Genomic DNA, 18,682 nt, shown 5'->3' with positions numbered 1-18,682 from the left:
TGTTCATCTCATTATCCAGCAGGCTAGGGTTGACCCATTCATGATGGGATGGTTACAGGTTTTCAAAGAGCAGCAAAAGGGCAAGTGATGATATACAAAAAATTTTCAAGCTTTTGCTAATGACACAGTGGCCAAAACAAGTCATATGGCAACCCAAATGGAGAACTAGTTTCTAGCCTTGATCAATACGGCCACATCACATTCAAAGGGCATGGATACAGGAAGGGAAAGAATTTGTGGCCAATTTTACATTATTGTACGTTACGTACTTTTATTGGTTCTTTATGCACTTTGTTTTGCCTGTTACTTAGAAGCCAAACAGACAATACCTACTGCTTTCTGCATTTGGTATATAAGGATATTGAGGTTCAGAAAGGTTAAGCAATAACATAGCCAGTTATTATAATCAACAGCACCAGTATTTAAACTTACATATATATTATTTCAATGTTTCTATGTTTTTGGTACCATTCCATCTTCTAATGATTGGCTAATGCTCCAATTTTTTCTAGTTCCATACAGTTGACATTTCAGTGTTCATAATTTTTTGGTATAGATCCAAATTTCCATCTAGTGTCATCTTCCTTTTGCTTGAAGAACTTTCTCTAACATTTCTTGTAGTGCCAGTCTGGTGGTGATGAAATCTTAAGAGTTTTTGAATGTGTTAAAACATCTTTATTTTGCTATCCTTTTTTAAAAAGGTATTTTTACTGGGTATAAAATTTTAGAGTTACAGGTGTTTTTTTTCTTTCAGTACATTGAAACTGCTACTCCACTGTAGGCCAGGTGCAGTGGCTAATGCCTGTAATCCCAGCTCTTTGGGAGGCTGAGGCAGGCAGATCACAAGGTCAGGAGATCAAGACCATCCTGGCTAACAAGGTGAAACCCCGTCTCTACTAAAAATACAAAAAAAATTAGCCAGTTGTGGTGGTAGGCGCCTGTAGTCCTAGCTACTCAGGAGGCTGAGGCAGGAGAATGGCGTGAACCTGGGAGGCGGAGCCTGCAGTGAGCCGAGATCAGGCCACTACACTCCAGCCTGGGCAATAGAGTAAGACTCTGTCTCAAAAAAAAAAAAAAAAAAAAGAAAGAAAGAAATTGCTACTCCACTGTCTGCTTACTTGCTTTGTTTCCAATGTGAAGTCTGTTGTCATCCTTATGTTTGTTCATTTGTATAAAATATGGCTTTATGGATGATTTTGAGACTTCTATATTGTTTTGACCAATCTGAGCAATTTGGTGTAGTTTTCTTTCTTTTTTTGTGTTTGGGCTCATTAAATTTCTTAAGTCTGTGAATTTACACTTTTGTACTTTTCATCAATTTGGAGAACTTTTGGCTGTTGTTTTTCAAATATTTTCTATCTTTCTTCTTGTTCCGCACTTTGGGAAGTCCTAGCACACATATTAAGCTCTCTGATATTTTCCAGGTCTCACTTAACTTTTTGAACACATGAAATACACATATAATTACTTTTAATATCTTATTGGCTAAGTCTATCATCTGTGTCAGTTCTGGGTCAGTTTTGATTTGTCTCTTTTTTCATGGGTTGAATATTCCTATTTCTTCACATGCTCAGTAAACTTTAATGCAATGCCAGACATTGTGAACTTTACGCTGCTTAAAAATGAATATATTTTCACTCCCATACTTTTGAGATTTTTTTCCTGGCATAAATTACTTGGAAAAGGTTTGATCCTTTTGGATATTGCTATTTAAGACTTGTTTGGTGGGACTAGAGCAGTGTCTAATCTAGGGCTATTTATTCCCCGCTACCAGGAAAGACCCTGTCAGTATTCTACCTATAAATTATAAGGGCTTCAAGTCTAGTTGGTAGAAGCAGCCATTATTTCTTGCCCTGCTGGAGCTCACTGGGCACCTGATAGTTCTTTCCCCAGGCCTGGGTAGTTTCCTCACATGTAGTGCACTATTCAGCACTCTGCCTAATACTCTCCAGAAGTCTCTGGAGTTCTCTTTGTACAACTCTTTCCTCTGTGGTACTCAGTTCTGCAAAGTATAGTCACTTTGGACTCTGTCTGGGTTTCCCTTCATGTGCTATGGCCTGGAAACTCTCTCAGGACAGAAAACTGAGACAATCATAGTGCTCACTCCATTTGTTCCTCACCTGTGATGAATCCCTGTTCCTCATCTGTCATGAATCCCCACTGCCTGATGTCCAGCGTCTAGAAAGCTGCTGTTTTTCATATATTTTGTTGAAATTTTTCATTGTTTCAGGCAAGAAGGTAAATCCAGTTCCTGTTATTTCATCTTGGCCATCCTGTTATCTCATCTTGTTGTGGTTTTGGTTTACATTTCCCTGATGACTTCTGAAATTGAGCAACCTTTCTTATGTTTACTAGCCATTCCATCTTTTTTTTGTGAACTAAGTATTCTGCCCACTTTTATATTAGATAATCTGCCTTTGTTTTTTTGTTGGAGTTCTTTATATATTCCATATATGAGTCTTTTGTTTGCATTGCCAACACCTTTTCCCACTTTGCAGCTTGCATTGTTATTCTCTTAAGAGCATCTTTTGATAAGCTAAAGTTTTAAAATTTTAACATAGTCAAATTTATCCATTTTTTTGTTTATAGTTAGGACTTCAGTGTCCAATTTAAGAAGATTTTGCTTAGTGCAAGATTATGAAGATATCCTTCCTCACATGTTGTATATCGTTTGTTTCACCTTTCACATTTAGATCTACATCCATCTGGAATTGATTCTTAGATATGGTAGATATCTAATTTTTAGATATCTGATTTAGATATCTGATTTTTAGATATCTGATTTAGATATCTGATTTTTAGATATCTGATTTAGATATCTGATTTTTAGATATAGTAGATTCCTCCTCCCCCTACCCTGGCAAATTTCTATCCAATCCACCTTAGAACCATTTGTTATTATTGTTTGATTCTCTGTATATATCCTCCTTAATGGGGCCTGAGTTCCAGTTTTATTTTATTTCTCTCCTTCTTTCAAGTTCCACGAGCCTCTTGAAAGCTCTGATCAGCTTCTCATGCCGTTGGCCACATCTATGAATTATCAAATGTCTCGAGGAGAAAAGCAGCACCAAACTGCTGCTATCGTAGCCCCTGGCACACTTATTCTTCAATACTCTTTAAATGCTCTTCAGTGCATTTAAACAGATTCAGTTAAATATTTTATCCAGCTTTTCTAGTTGTTTCCAGAAAGAACAGTACTCTGTGAAAAGCTAATCTGTTATAGCTGGAAGCTCTACCCACTGAGTTCAAGCTGGAACTGAACAACCTTCATCAAGTGACATCAAAGCAAGGCTGAAACCACAACAATTTCAGATTCCACAGAAGGGCCTAGAAACTCCTCGCTGGCAGGACCCCACATTTGTAACATTTAATTTTTGGAACTCATAACATTGAAGTGATATTTTACTTTAATCTCACATTATAATAACCTTAATGTTGTTGTACAACTTATACATTGGCTATGGAGAGAATTCCAAAGGGGCTACAATAGAATACAATGCAGTGGCAACACATATGCAAAATGAAGAAAAAATTGTGCATATTGTTGTACAGTTTGTGGTTAACCACATATTCATCATTTTGAGAAGATAATCAAGGATAATCTCCATGGGATATATAATTTATGGCATTTATTCTGAAAGTAGATTCTCTATTTTCTTGTCATACACCTAAATACCTGAACCTCTAGGTGAATCAGGCTGCCTTTATATTAAGGTATCCATTTAAAATATTACATATTCATAAGTCATGCCAAGCAGAGTTGCTCTTACACTGTACTTTCTGTGACAGACTACACTTTCATGAGCAGCTTCTATTCCTTCCTCCTCAGCTGCAGGTAAATAGAGCCAATGGCAAGATGGTCAAAACCATGACCCCTTTTCTGTGTCCTTTTGCTCCTTCTTTCTCATTCCTTCTTCAGCCCCAGCTTAAACTCAGGAGCAACCACTTCCTCCACATTAGATACGTCTTATCTTTCCAGCTTTCTACTTCCTTTAGGAAAGTTAGAATTTTTTTATGGATTTCATTTTAACTAAAACTCATTCATTCTTACACGCCCTCAACTTACCATGCACGTATTGAGTCTTTTTCCTATTAATTTTCTAAAGAAGAATATCCTCCTGTCAGTGAAGGTTTTGGCATACTATGAATGATTATTGAGCTCCATCCTCTTAAAATTCATATGCTGAGACACTTTTACTCTATCAGGAAGATAACCAAATGGAAGCTCTGCATAAAAACACACTGTGCTTGTGGGAATGTGGGGTCTAGATATTTGCTCCTTTAAGATCCAGTGGTGCTTTTTATCACCTAATATAAAGCTCATTTCTCACAAGCACCTTTTTGAATGCCAATATTTACAGTCTATTAGAGGTATCAGTTGAGTGCCATCTGTCTCATCGCTGTAATTTAGGGGATTTCTCCAAAGACAAGTTGGCAGATTTCCTTGTGTGTAGATTGGTGCAGATGTCCTTGAAGGGCATTTCTTCATGCAAACATTAAGCATTCCTGAGTATATGTATCTTGTCATTTTACAGAATGCATTGTGGCTTCAATTTCCACAGCTACAACCATCTAGCAGCCACATTAAGTCATATTTTAAAAAGGTGAAATTAATTTTAATGTATATTTAATCCAGTATATCCCAAAATATTATCATTCAACATGTGAGTAATATAAAAAGTGAGATCTTTTGCATTATTTTATTTGCAGCAAGTCTTTGAAACCAGGTATGTATTTTATATTTACAGCATAGCTCAATTTGGATTTTTCATCTGAAAATGCTACATCTGTATTTGCGTTTCATACAATATGCAGGGGCAAAGGTAGATTCACTCACCCAAGTTGTTTCAAACACGCAATGTTTTCCAATTACTGAATCAAATATCAATTTTTGGATTTAAATCAATTGCAATTCATTACAATAAAAAGTCAGTTCCTTAGCTGCCACATTTCAAGTGCTCAGTAGCCATATAAGAATCACAGCTACCCCATGAGAAGCACAAGTAGAGCCAATCACGTTGACAGTGAGTCTTTCTTTAGTATAGCTCTATTGTGGATTAGCTTCTCCAAACCTAACCTTTATGGAGAAGTTAAATGTTTCATAGACAAGAGAAAGAAAATGTGCAAACTGTTCTCAGACAAAAAGACCTTTCACATCATAAGGAATCAGTGGTTAAAAACACCTTGATTGCCCAAAGTTGTCAGTTATTTTAAGGTAGTATATAACAACCTGAAAGGGTGCAAAAGGGTAAACTGATATTATTTTGTCTGACTTTAACAACTATACTAGTTCAGTTAAAAAATACAAATGTTTTTCTGAAAGGGGAAAAAAATACCAAAGAATGTTAATACTGAATCCCATAAGGACTTCAGGCCAGTTGTCCATAGCTATTGCACCATGTCAATGAATCCTGCAAATACACCTTTAAGTTTTATTTCTACAGCAACTACCAGAGACTTTTATCATTGAAGTTAAGCAGCACCTGTATCCATCATCCTTTAGTTAATCGATAACCTTGGGAGGTCAGGCTAAATTTTGAGGGAAGGAAATTTTTAAAACTTGACCTTAACCAAACTTACTCCTAAGCTGATAATTACTGACAGCATTCTAGACACACCAATTTTATCACTCTGTCATTCCAACTCTTGTATCTTAAACTGGGGGTTTCTGCTTGCAGAATGGCGGTTGTAGTGGTTATCAGACCTCCCTGGCTGGTCTATTCAAGCTGATCACATTCCACAATTAACTGCAGAAACTCTCACTTGGACCAACACTCTTAAATGGAGTTTGGGTGAGTAAAGGAGGGACGCCTGGAAAATTCAAGTCATTCACAAGATGTCAAGATGAGTTATCTACCCACACAGGGCGCCTTTTATGGGGAAATTGCATTGTTGCTCCACAAGCTGCAGTTGCCATGTTATCTCGGTCACACTACAGGGAGCACATTCAGGAATGTTAGCACAAAAGGCATGGACGGAAAGACTAAGTCTGGTGGTTTGAAACTGACTCTAATGTTGAAAAGAGGGTAAGAGAGTGTGGCAAGATCACACTATCTGGCATAACAGCCTGTAGCATTAATTATTCCATAGTTAGTGAGCAAGAATTCAGAATGCATGTTGAATTTGCAGAACCATTTCTTTCAGGGAAAGAAGCCGACTATGGCTCTAGATGACTCAAATGGCCCCTAGCTCCTTCTCAACAAGTCACTCTTGGATGGTTATTTGTACCACAAAGGCTGCTAAACACTTCTAATGATAGACCTTTAGTAACAGTGTGATAGCATTTTATGTAAGTGTTAATTGTTCAAAATTTATGTAGTGTACATGAAAAGACCTCAATGAAATCACATTTTGAGCACAACTTGGAATACAAATTTTCCCAAAATTTCAAAATATATCAAAAATATATGTAACCACTTCAAATCTGTGTGTCAAAACTGTAAGCATGTTTATACTGTGGCCACAGGACTGGATCCTTTAGCTGGCAAGAAGAAATACCCACCTCCCTTTGTTAGCGTGGTGGCATTTATCAGCACAGCTGTGAGGGAGTTTGGAGAGCTCTACGCTATGATTTTAACATTCAGCTTCATCATAATTTCAAATGTTTCAAACGTCTTATATAATCTAGTCATTCATTAAGGAGGGGGACTAGTACTGAGCAATGTACCTGGAATTCAGGGATTTAGAACGCGTAGTTAAAATGCTATGAATGGGGTAGGTGAGGAGACATTCACAGTAAGTCACACTGATAATGGAGAAGATAGCACTCTGTAAAATACCGAAGTCATGTTGTAAAAAATTTTTTTAAAGGATGTAAAAAGCACATCACTGAAATCTGAAAAATCAACTGGCATCAGAGATGCACAGACTGTGAGTCAACATGTAGTTTAGCTAAGGCATGAAGGATTTTTTGATGATTTAAAAGGAGGGTGAACAGAGTTGGTGACAAGAATTCATTGAGTGATCTTTTCCTCTAGCACAGACTAGGACTTCAATTAAGGACAAAGAGGTGGTGAGTATGTGCACATTCTGAAGGTAATGGACATGGGTTAGGACAGTTAGTCCTTCCAGGGTTTGGTAAGACACATCTCAATACCCCACCCTCCTCTACCTCCATGCATGCCTTCTACAGAAAGTACCATAGGGAGGAAGAGGGCAAAGGAGGCCATCTGCACAGTGTGAATTATCAGCCACGACGGGGAGGCCATGGCATCTCCCCCGCCTTTTTTGGGTAAGGTAGAAGACTGGGTCCCCCAACCTCCACTCTAAGGTCAAGGAAGAGGAATAGGAGAATCACTCATAAAAACTCTGGGCACCAGTAAGAAGTGAATCTTTGATGTGCCCCTTGTTTGGACATCTGCCTAGGTAGAAAAGGAGGAGGAAGATGGAACCAGGTGGCTGGTTACACTGCCAGGAGCAAGAAATGGGAGGATTAAAGTGGGGGTGGCTCTGGCATATACATCCCTGGGGAGGTTCCCTTTGTCCAGAGGACCTGCACACTTGTTCCACCAGAAATCCAGCACGTGGATCCTTGCTGTTAAGGGTGAAGATGGACAGTCACCACTGGTGAGGGAAGCAGGAGCGGTCATTAAGAAAGGACAATGACAGACAGATCACACCCCTAAACCCCTCCTCATGATAAATGGACAGAGACGGGGGATGAAAAAGCTGAAGTCTCCCTCCCAACACCAAGTTATTAAACGAAAGCTTGGCCTTGACATGGAGATGAGATGGAAATTTCCAACTAGAATATGCTGAGTTGCTTTTGGTTTCTTTTTTAAGTTTTTAATAAGAAAGGGGGACCAGGAGATTACGATACCTGCCCGAGATATTATTAAGGGGTCTGCTACCTGGGCAAAGAGACTCGGCAGGGCACATGTGAGATTAGTCATTGCAGAAAGATAAAACTGTTTCATGACTGTTATCCCATGGAATTAATATTATTCAATAAACCAGTCACATAAGTGTTCACTGTATTTAAATAATATGATTAAAAGAAAAAGAATGCTTACCTACTCACAGATTTATGTACCTCTCTGCTAACTTACTTATTGAAAATTCATTTTGCATTATAAGCATTTCAGATTTGAAAAGTATTCAGAAACACGTACTTTTGTGAAATACAATACCTGCTACCCTCATACAGTCACCCTGGGCAGAGGGTTCAGCTGCTGGTCATGAGGATGCCCTCAGGGGCTTATTGAAGCATAGTGTAGTGACAACTATTATGTTTCAAAATAGTTTTTTTAAAGGCATCCAATTGTGTGCTAATAAGTATGTAAAAGACGGATATAGTAGATTCATAGTCAATTTAATCACAGATTTTATTTGCAAAGCCATCTGGAAATTAGCATGAATATACAAAACAATACTACCTGAGTGGTGACCCTGAACCTGTTGCCCAAATTGTCCAACAATTCTGTTACTAACAGCACGACTGCACTTGTATTATCAACAACAAGAATAGCCAACCAATTGAATTTAGGTTCAAAGTTAAGTGATGAACAAGAGAGAAATAATTAAGATAAATACTGTGCCCAAAGAACAGCAAAATTCAGGGAACTGCAATGTGAACAGACACAGATTCTAAAGAAAATGGCACAAAAAATATCTAGAGTAAAATTTTTCTGAGAAAAAAAAAACATGGAGAAAACTCCACAATTATATAGCACAAGCTTCAGTTTTAAAATAATCTGTAATATACACTCAACTCTAGGAGTGACCAGCTATGTCAGCCACAACTGTAAGATCTAAGTGAATAGGAATGATTGAGTTGGTCTAAATGAAAGGCAACATTCTCTTAAAGTTTATAGGAAGGAGTGCTTTGGAATTTGTACAGTTTGTCCCTGATCTGAGCTCTCAGATTACACAAGATAGTATCTGTTTTTATTTGCTTTAAATATTGACATGGGAATCAGCAAAAAGGTGATGCATTATTTTTGCAGAGATAGGGGAAAATTAGAGGGTTAATTCGGGATGATCCTGAAATGATACAAATCTAACTTGGACAGCACTGAAGATAAGCCCAATGTCATAATTATGAAGGTGACTCTGGAGGGAGGAGTAAGAAGGTACCAGCTATGATCTTGTTCCAAGTGACCCTTTCTCCCCTAGGAAAGCTGCTAACCAGGCAATGGATGTCCCAGTTCTTGTCCCAGAATTCTGGGGGATTTGGCGACAGTGTTTCTTTCCATCGACTTCTTTCAGCACTGTAAGCCTTACACACTGAATATAGTTCCTCTTTACACAGCACCAGACAGTTATTCTTCCTACTCCCTTTTGCACAGCCTCTGACATCCCTCTGATGCTACATTACAAATTTTAACTGCAGATTTTCTAGTTCCTGGCCCACGTGACATGACAGGTAGCATTTGACAATGATAGAGACGCTATGACATTCCTCAGCTAACACAGTATAATACGAGACTTTCAAAAAAAATATTACCTGTTTAGGCTGAGCTCCTTTTGAGAGAATGTCAAGTAAATCAGCAGAAGAGACGAAATAGAAGCGAGGAAAGGCTATGCGCTTGGTTTCCAGGTATTCAGCGAGAGCTTTTTCACAAAGAGAAAGCCTACATGAATGAAAAATGTTTTTAAGCATATCTTGTCCCTTCAGTCATTAAAACTTCGGCAAAACAAAACTCAAGTCCTCTATGTCCATTCATTATAGTAAACTCACTGTTTAACAGGTAGCTTACTTCCTTCTTTTTTACACCATCATCTATCTTGCTTATGACTAATATACATTATGCCAAGTAGAAGAGTACTATGCCAAATACACACACACACACACACACACACACACACACACACACACACCCCATTAGCTGTGGCTAAATATGAATTAGACTTAGGTTTACATTATTCATTGCTTTTCCGAATGACACTCCTAAACAGCAGTGGAGAAGACTAGGTCGCCATCCTTCAACCTGAGAGCAAAATGCACTGGTAAGATGTAATTCGTTTACAGCCTTCTTTTCCCCCACTGGATGTCTACAAAACACAAGTGACTTCCCTCCTGTCAGGTATTCAGAGGAGTCATAAGATCCAGAATTGGTTCCACTTTATTGCCCTTAGCAGAGCAGAAATGACCCAGAGGCAGAGCCCGAGCCCCAAAGCCCCAAAGAGCATTACTCAACTGAAATAATTAACTTCGCCCTTTTCGTTACCAAAAAAACTTTCAGACTATAAAACTGCTCTGTTTATGTAATATAAAATTTTATCTAGATCTTCTCCTTACCTTGCAATAAAAAAAGGATCGCACTTCCACAACCCATCATTTTAGTAGCAGATCTGCTCATTTTTAATCAAAAGCCAGAATATTCTTACGACCACTAACTCTTATAGAATTAAATGTGAAAATTACTTTACAAATGGCCCTTGGGACAATGATTTTAAAAATGCTGCTGTGCTCCCTCAGGATAATTTCTAATAAAATGAAACTACATAGAAACTAAAGGACTACATTAACGGAGTGCAATCCCAGGTGCTCAATCAATATTTACAGGATAGTCTGAGGAAATAATTGATCAATCAATCATGTCAATTCTCTTGATAATAAGATACTCTAATTTTACTAGTATAATACTCCTCTCAGAAAACAAATATTTTTGGGTTTATTTACATTAACTTACTATATATATGTTCCATGTCATATGTACGAGACAACTAGATAATTATAAGCAAAATTACAAAATAATTTAGTAGAGGTTGCACCTCCATAACACAGTATTAAATACTATTAGGTATGTGAAAAAGACTTCATAAAATTACAGTAAATTGATTATCTTATATAGCTTTATTCTTACCTGGACTGTAAATCTTTAAGTTTTTCATAGAGATTAGGTCTGCACGTTGCTTCTAACACATTTTCTACTTTGGCTGTCTTGAACATTAACTCCTGCATGAAAGTACAATACGGGGCCGTGGATATTAGAACAATCTTTTCTAAACTTTTAATCATTTCAAGAATTAAAAAAATGAAGAACAAAGAATGAAGAGGCAAGGTCAAAGATACTTCTAAGAATGTCTGACACCACATCTGTTTACTTTTGCTTTTCAACTCTTAGATGAAGATCAAAAGCAATGTAGAAGCACACCGTTTTTATAAAAATAAATGTGATAAGCACTGTCACCACTTTAGGCCCACACAGAATTTTTCTCTTCTAAATCAAACGAAAAAGAATAAAGGCAAAAGGAGACAAGGAAGGGAGAATGGGAAGAGGAAAAAGAAGAGAAAGGGAGACAAGTAGGAGGAGGTGGGGGCAGAGGGGGAGGAGAAGGAGAGAGAAAGGGAGAAAGAGAGGAAGGGAGAGAGAGAAAGAGAGAGACAGAGAATGAGAGAGCGCCCAGAATCTTAAAAAGCATACCTACATATAAAAATGAGAGAGATATAAACAATCTATTTTTTCTTCCTCAAAAGTTAAATGACTTAAAATTTATCTGTGACTTCTACTTCAGGTAGAAAGAAAAAACCTTTTAATCTCAATTTTTATGAGAAATAGTCACTCTCCTTTGCTAGAAATCTCTCCAATCAATTATCATTACATGCACCATGCCACGTGCTTTCTATGGCTTTTACAGAAAAGAAAAACCGAAACTAGTAGTGTTATTTTCTACCTGTTGTCCTTTCTCAGTCTTTTACTTCTGAAGATGAATCTGTTTACCTTTATTACCACAAAGGTCGGCAATCTATGGTGCATGGGACAAATATGGCCTGATGTTTGTTTTTGCACGACCTAGCAGCTAAAAATGGTTTTTAAATTTATTTTGGAGACAGGGTCTCATTCTGTCACCCAGGCTGGAGTGCAGTGCTGCAGTCATAGCTCACTGCAACCTCAAACTACCTTGGCTCAAGTGATCCTCCCACCTCAGCCTCCCAAGTAGCTAGGACTGCAAGCTTGGGCCACCTTGCCTAGCCAATTATTAAAAATTTTTTAGTAGAGAAGGGATCTCACCATACTGCCTAGGCTTGTCTCGAACTCCTGGCCTCAAGTCATCCTCCTACCTTGGACTCCCAAAAGGCTGGGATTATAGGTGTGAGCCACCGAGCCTAGCCTACCTTTTTAAATCAGTGAAAAAAATAAAAAACAGTGTATTTTGTGACACATGATAACTATGTGAAATTCAAATTTCAGTGTCTACAAGTAAAGCTTTATTGGCATATAACCATATCCATTTGTTTATTTATTACCCATGTCTTCTTTCATGTTGTAATGGCAGCATTCAGAAGGTGTTAGACAGGCTGCATGATCCACACAGCCTGAAATATTTATTACCTGGCCCTTTGCAGGAAAAGTCTCCTGACTCCTGCTTACTCATGCAAAAATGCATTCATTTTTATAAATACGATGCTCAAAACCATGTTACTTTACAAAACTTTGCTAGAATAGCATACAGCCTGTCTTTGACAAACCTTAAATTCAGCATCCACCCCATCAAATCTTCTAGCATCTTTCACAAGCTGGATTCGAATATCTTCTGAACAGACAAAAATGCTTTCCAGGTGAGACCAAGTTCGCTGGACTTCCATCCAAGTGAAGATGACCAAGTCTGCTATGTTTAATTTATTTTGCCAGCTTAACACTTGCTCAATGAAATATTCTACATACTTGCTTTGAAGAAGAGTCTGCAACTGAACCTAAAATAAAGGCAAAGAATTTTAAATAGTAGCTAAATTTAGTAGAATGTGAGTGCTATGAGGGAGGCACTATATCTACTCTGTTTATTGCTGGATTCTTAGACCTAGCATGTAATATCTGGAACTGGCATTTAATAAGTTTTTGCTAAATGAGTGAATGAGTGAATTAATGGTAGTAAATATTTATATTAACATTTTTCCAAAAAGAAAAAAAGATAAATATATGCAACTGTTATCTCCTCATATGTCTTTCTCAAGAAGGCCCTGCATCTATTGCAGGCAGAAAAAAAATACTGTGTATTGGGGGTTCAGCACTGGGAATTAAACTGTATTCTTTCATTGCTCTTCCCCTCATCCCTGCCTATTAGTCATGCCAAGATTGTATAGGTATGTGTTTATTAATCTTAAAAAAATAGGCCGGGCACGGTGGCTCACGCCTGTAATCCCAGCACTTTGGGAGGCCGAGGTGGGCGGATCACGAGGTCAGGAGATTGAGACCAACCTGGCTAACACGGTAAAACCCCGTCTCTACTAAAAATACAAGAAATTAGCTGGGCGTGGTGACGGGCGCCTGTAGTCCCAGCTACCTGGGAGGCTGAGGCAGGAGAACGGTGTGAACCCGGGAGGCGGAGCTTGCAGTGAGCTGAGATCACGCCACTGCACTCCAAGCCTGGGCAACAGAGTGAGACTCTGTCTCAAACAAACAAACAAACAAACAAACAAACAAACTGCCCCCCACCAGCCTGCTAGGCCCTCCAGCTTCCACTTTCCTCCCTTTTCAGTTTACTGCTAAGCTCCACAGCTCTCCTATCACCAGTGCTTGTTTTTGTTTTGTTTTTTCAAGTATTGGTTGCAGTTTTATTTTGAAAAGAATGCTATAATTAATGTGGTTTTTGTTTCTCATGTTTAAATTAAAAGAAAAGCTAACAAACTCTATTTTAATTAAAATATGGTTAGTATGTCTGAAACGCTTCTATCACACAGCATTACATATCTGCCCAACTTAAATGTTTTAAATCTGTCCTCATATGTCTTTTTTTCCCTTCCAACATTTATTTTGGGTTCGGGGGGGTACATATGCAGGCTTGTTACATAGGTAAATTGCATGTTATGGGAGTTTGGTGTGCACATGATTTCATCACCCAGGTAATGGGCATAGTACCTGACAGGTAGGTTTTTGATCCTCACCCTCCTCCTGCCCTCCACTCTCAACTAGGCCCCAGTGTGTATCATTCCCTTCTTTGTGTCCAAGGGGACTCAATGTTTAGCTCAGCAGTGCTTGTTTTAATGCCATGGAGCCTAGCTAGTATTTCTCACTATTCTATGACACTGAAATCTCAGAAAGTCACTGAGTACAATGACCTCTACTGCTCATTTTTCTCTACTCTAGGTATTTAACATACTTGACTCTTCTTTGAGGGAAAAACCTCATGCCTTGACTTCTCTATGACATTACAGTATCCTGTTTCAAGCATTTCTCTGACCACTCTCTTGCTGCCTCCTTTTTGTCTCCTCCTCTTGTTCACCGAATTCAGTCTTTTCCAATGCTCTATTCTCAGCTGGCTTATCTCCTTTAGTCTCTTTATCTAGTTCATCAAGTCTCAAGATACTGACAGTGAACTCCCAGCTACCAGCTCTTGGCTGAACCTCTGTGTTGAGCTGTGGTCTGGTGTTTCACCTTTGCATAAATGTCCTTCACACTGAATAAACCAATAATAAGTGTCATCTCTCCAAACCAGTTTCTTTTCCTAAATGTCTTATGTCTAATAATAACACTACTGTTATTTCCTCTGAATAGTTTGTCTCTTCTACATTTCTTTTCATGTCTGAAGAGATGTTAACACTATAATTTTAGAATTCAAGACCATGTATCATGTGCTCAGACTATCTGTCCAGGCCTATCTTTCACTACCCCCATAAAGAAAATCTATAGTCCAAGGAAACTAGAGTCTTAACATTACCTTTGAATGGTAGAGACATCCTGTCATTCCAAGGTGCTACTAATATTGTCCTCATTGCCTAAATACCCTTTTCTGACTGCCATTTTTTGAAGAATAATAGACTACCCTTCAAGTCTCAGCATGAGCACCATCATCTTCTAAGGCCCTCCCTGGGTCTTCCGCCCACCTTAATCACAAAGCCTCTCTGTCTCTTCTTAGACTCCTTGGAGTCCTTTTGCTTGTCTCCCTACTCAAGTGCATCTTCCTAGAGAACAAGTGTTCATAACTTTGGATCACAAATGGTATCATACCTGGAGCCTGTAACAATTAGGTGCTCAATGAATAAATAAACATATGTTGAGTATTAGAACTAGGAAAAAGTAAAAAATCACAATTTAAAATTTAAAAAATGTGATTTAAAATGTATATGAACCCAACATCAGAGAACCTAAATATATAAATCAAATATTAACAGGTCTGAAGTATGAGATAGACTGCAATACAGTAATAGAAGGGGATAACAATATTCCACTTTCAACAATGGATAGATCATCTGGACAGAAAATCAAGAGAGAAACAGTGGACTTGAACACCTTAGACCAAATAGACCTAATGGACATCGACAGACTATTTCATCCAATAGCAGAATACAGATTTTTCTCAAGTGCAAATGAAACATTCTCCAAGACAGATCATATGTTAGGCCAGTGATATGGTTTGGCTGTGTCCCCACCCAAATCTCATCTTGAATTTTCACATGTTGTGGAAGGGACCCACTGGGAGGTAATTGAATCATGGGGGCAGGTCTTTCCCATACAGTTCTCATGATTGTGAATAAGTCTCGCAAGATCTGATGGTTTTAAAAAGGGGAGATCGCCAGCACAAGCTGTCTTGTCTGCCACTTTGGGAGACGTGCTTTTCACCTTCCACCATGATTGTGAGGCCTCCCCAGCCACATGGAACTGTATGTCCAATAAACCTCTTTCTTTTACAAATTGCCCAATCTTGGGTATGTCTTTATCAGCAGCATGAAAATGAACTAATTCAGTAAATTGGTACCAATAGGGTGGGGTGCTATTGAAAAGACACCCGAAAATGTGGAAGCAACTTTGGAACTGGGTAACAGGCAGAGGTTGGAACAGTTTGGAGGGCTCAGAAGAAGACAGGAAAATGTGGGAAAGTTTGGAACTCCCTAGAGACTTGAATGGCTTTGACCCAAATGCTGATAATGACACAGACAATGAAATCCAGGCTGAGGTGGTCTCAGATGGAGATGAAAAACTTGTTGGGAACTGGAACAAAGGTGACTCTTGTTATGTTTTAGCAAAGAGACTGGTGGAGTTTTTCCCCTGCCCTAGAGATTTTTGGCACTTTTAACTTGACAGAGATAATTTAGGGTACCTAGCAGAAGAAATTTCTAAGCAACAAAGCATTCGAGAGGTGACTTGGGTGCTGTTACAGGAATTCAGTTTTATAAGGGAAGCAGACCACAGAAGTTCAGAAAATTTGTAGCCCGACAATGTGATAGGAAAGAAAATCCCATATTCTGAGGAGAAATTCAACCTGACTGCAGAAATTTGCAAAAGTAACCAGGAGCTGAATGTTAATCTCCAAGGCAATGGGGAAAATGTATCCAAGGCATCAGAGACCTTTGTGGCAGGCCCTCCCATCTCAGTCCTGGAGGCCTCAGAGGAAAAAGGGGTTTCCTGGGCCAGGCCCAGGGTTCCTGTGCTGTGTGCTACCTAGAGACTTGGTGCCCTGCATCCCAGCCACTCCAGCCATGGCTGAAAGGGGCCAACATAGAGCTCGGGACGTGGCTTCAGAGGATGCAAACCTCAAGCATTGGCAGCTTCCATGTGGTGTTGAGTCTGCCAGTGCACAAAAGTCAAGAACTGAGGTGTGGAAACCTCTACCTAGATTTCACAAGATGCATGGAAATGCCTGGATGCCCAGGCAGAAGTTTGCTGCAGCGGCAGCGTCCTCATGGAGAACCTCTGCTATGGCAGTGCAGAAGGGAAATGTGGGATCAGAGCCCCCACACAAAGTCCCAACTGGGGCACTGACTAGTGAAGCCATGAGAAGAGGGCCACTGTCCTCCAGACCCCAGAAAGGTAGATCCACCGACAGCTTGTACTGTGCACCTGGAAAAGCTGCAGATACTCAACACCAGCCTGTGAAAGCAGCCGGGAGGGAGACTGTACCCCAAAAAGCCACAGAGGCGGAGCTGCCCAAGACTGTGGGAACCCACCTCTTGCATCAGCGTGACCTGGATGTGAAACATGGAGTCAAAGAAGATCATTCTGGAGCTTTAAGATTTGACTGCCCCGCTGGATTTCAGACTTGCATGGGGCCTGTAACCCCTTTGTTTTGGCTGCTTTCTCCCATTTGGAATGGCTGTATTTATCCAATAGCTGTACCCCCATTTTATCTAGGAAGTAACTAACTTGCTTTTGATTTTACAGGCTCATATGTGGAAGGGACTTGCCTTGTCTCAGATGAGACTTTGAACAACTGTGGACTCTTGAGTTAATGCTGAAATGAGTTAAGACTTTCGGGGACTGTTGGGAAGGCATGATTGGTTTTGAAATGTGAGGACATGATTTGGGAGGGACCAGGGGTGGAATGATATGGTTTGGCTGTCTCCCTATCCAAATCTCACCTTGAATTCCCATGTTTTGTGAGAAGGACCCAGTGGGAGGTAACTGAATCACGGAGGCAGGTCCTTCCCATGCTGTTCTCGTGACTGTGAATAAGCCTCAAGAGATCTGATGGTTTTAGAAAGGGGAGATTGCCTGCACAAGCTTTCTTCTCTTGTCTGCTGCCATGTGAGACAAGCCTTTCACCTTCCACTACAATTGTGAGGCCTCCCTAGCCACATGGAACTGTAAGTCCAATAAACCTCTTTCTTTTGTAAATTGCCCAGCCCTGGGTATGTCGTTATCAGGAGCATGAAAACGGACTAATACAGCCACAAAACAAGTCTTAACAAATTTAAGAGAAAAAAGAATGAAAAGCAGTGAAGATTGTCTACAAGATAAATAATATTAAAAACTTTTGAAAGCCTGAGAGAGATATAAATATCCAGGTACAAAAAGGTCAGAGAACACCAAATAGAACTGACCCAAATAATACTACTCCAAGTCATAAAATAATCAAATTCTCAAAGGTCAAGGACACAGAGAATCGTAAAGCAACAAAAGAAAAGAAGCAAATAAGATATAAAGGAGCTCCAATTTGACAAGAGACATCTCAACAGAAAGAATACAGGCCAGTAGAAAGTGGAATGACATTTTCAAAGTGCTAAATGTAACAACAAAACAAACCCCTACTAACCAAGAATACTGTGTCCAGCAAACTTATACTTCAAATATGAGAGACAGATTGAAGTATTTTCCCTGACAAACAAAAGCTGAGCTAATTCGCCACCACCAGAATAGTTTTACAAAAAATGCTAAAGGAAATTCTTCAATCTGAAATAGAAAAACACTGACATTAAACAATGTATTTAAAGCCATAAAACCCACTGGTAAAATTAAATATGTGAACAAACACAGAATATTCTAGTACTGTAACTATGGTGTGCAATCTACTCATACTCCTGGCATGAAGCCCAAAAGACAAATCTATCAAAAACAATAGCTACAGCAAACGGTTAAGAGATAGACAATATAAAAATATACAAATTGAGACAACTAAAGCTCAAAATGTGGGGTGGGGGGAAGGAATGGAGTTTCTTCTTCATTTTTTCTTTGGGTTTTTTTTTCTTTGTGATCTAATATAAGTTGTCATCTCTTTAAAATAACTTGGTATAGTTTTTCTACGACTCATGGTAACCACAATGCAAAAACCTGTAATGGATTCACTAAAAATAAAAAGCATTGAATTAAAACATATTAACAGAGAAAATCACTTAACAATAAAGGAAGGCAGTAAAAAAGTAAAAAAGAAAAATTACAAAACAACCAGAAGATAAGTAACAAAATGGCAGTAATAAGTCCTTAATAACAACACTCACCATAAATGGACTCAATTATCCAATTAAATGCATAAAGTGGCTGAATAGCTAAAGAAACATAACAGAACTATACAGTGCCTACAAGAA

The 18,682-nt window shown here is 38.9% G+C and overlaps 1 protein-coding gene across 1 annotated transcript in view; it reads right to left on the bottom strand.

Moving 5' to 3' along the window:
- Positions 1–18,682, bottom strand: part of DNAH11 (dynein axonemal heavy chain 11) — a 358,801-nt gene that overhangs the window by 253,329 nt on the left and 86,790 nt on the right. Inside the window, exons 26-28 of the mRNA NM_001277115.2 lie at positions 12,416–12,640; positions 10,809–10,900; positions 9,446–9,572 (exon numbers count right to left, since the gene is read on the bottom strand). Coding sequence (NP_001264044.1) covers positions 9,446–9,572; positions 10,809–10,900; positions 12,416–12,640 — 444 coding nt within the window. The remainder of the gene's footprint in view (positions 1–9,445; positions 9,573–10,808; positions 10,901–12,415; positions 12,641–18,682) is intronic.

This window comes from Homo sapiens, chromosome 7 (assembly GCF_000001405.40).
Source record: "Homo sapiens chromosome 7, GRCh38.p14 Primary Assembly".
NCBI lineage: Eukaryota > Metazoa > Chordata > Mammalia > Primates > Hominidae > Homo > Homo sapiens.
Note: the sequence above shows the minus strand (reverse complement) of the source record. Positions and strands in the feature narration are given on the sequence as shown.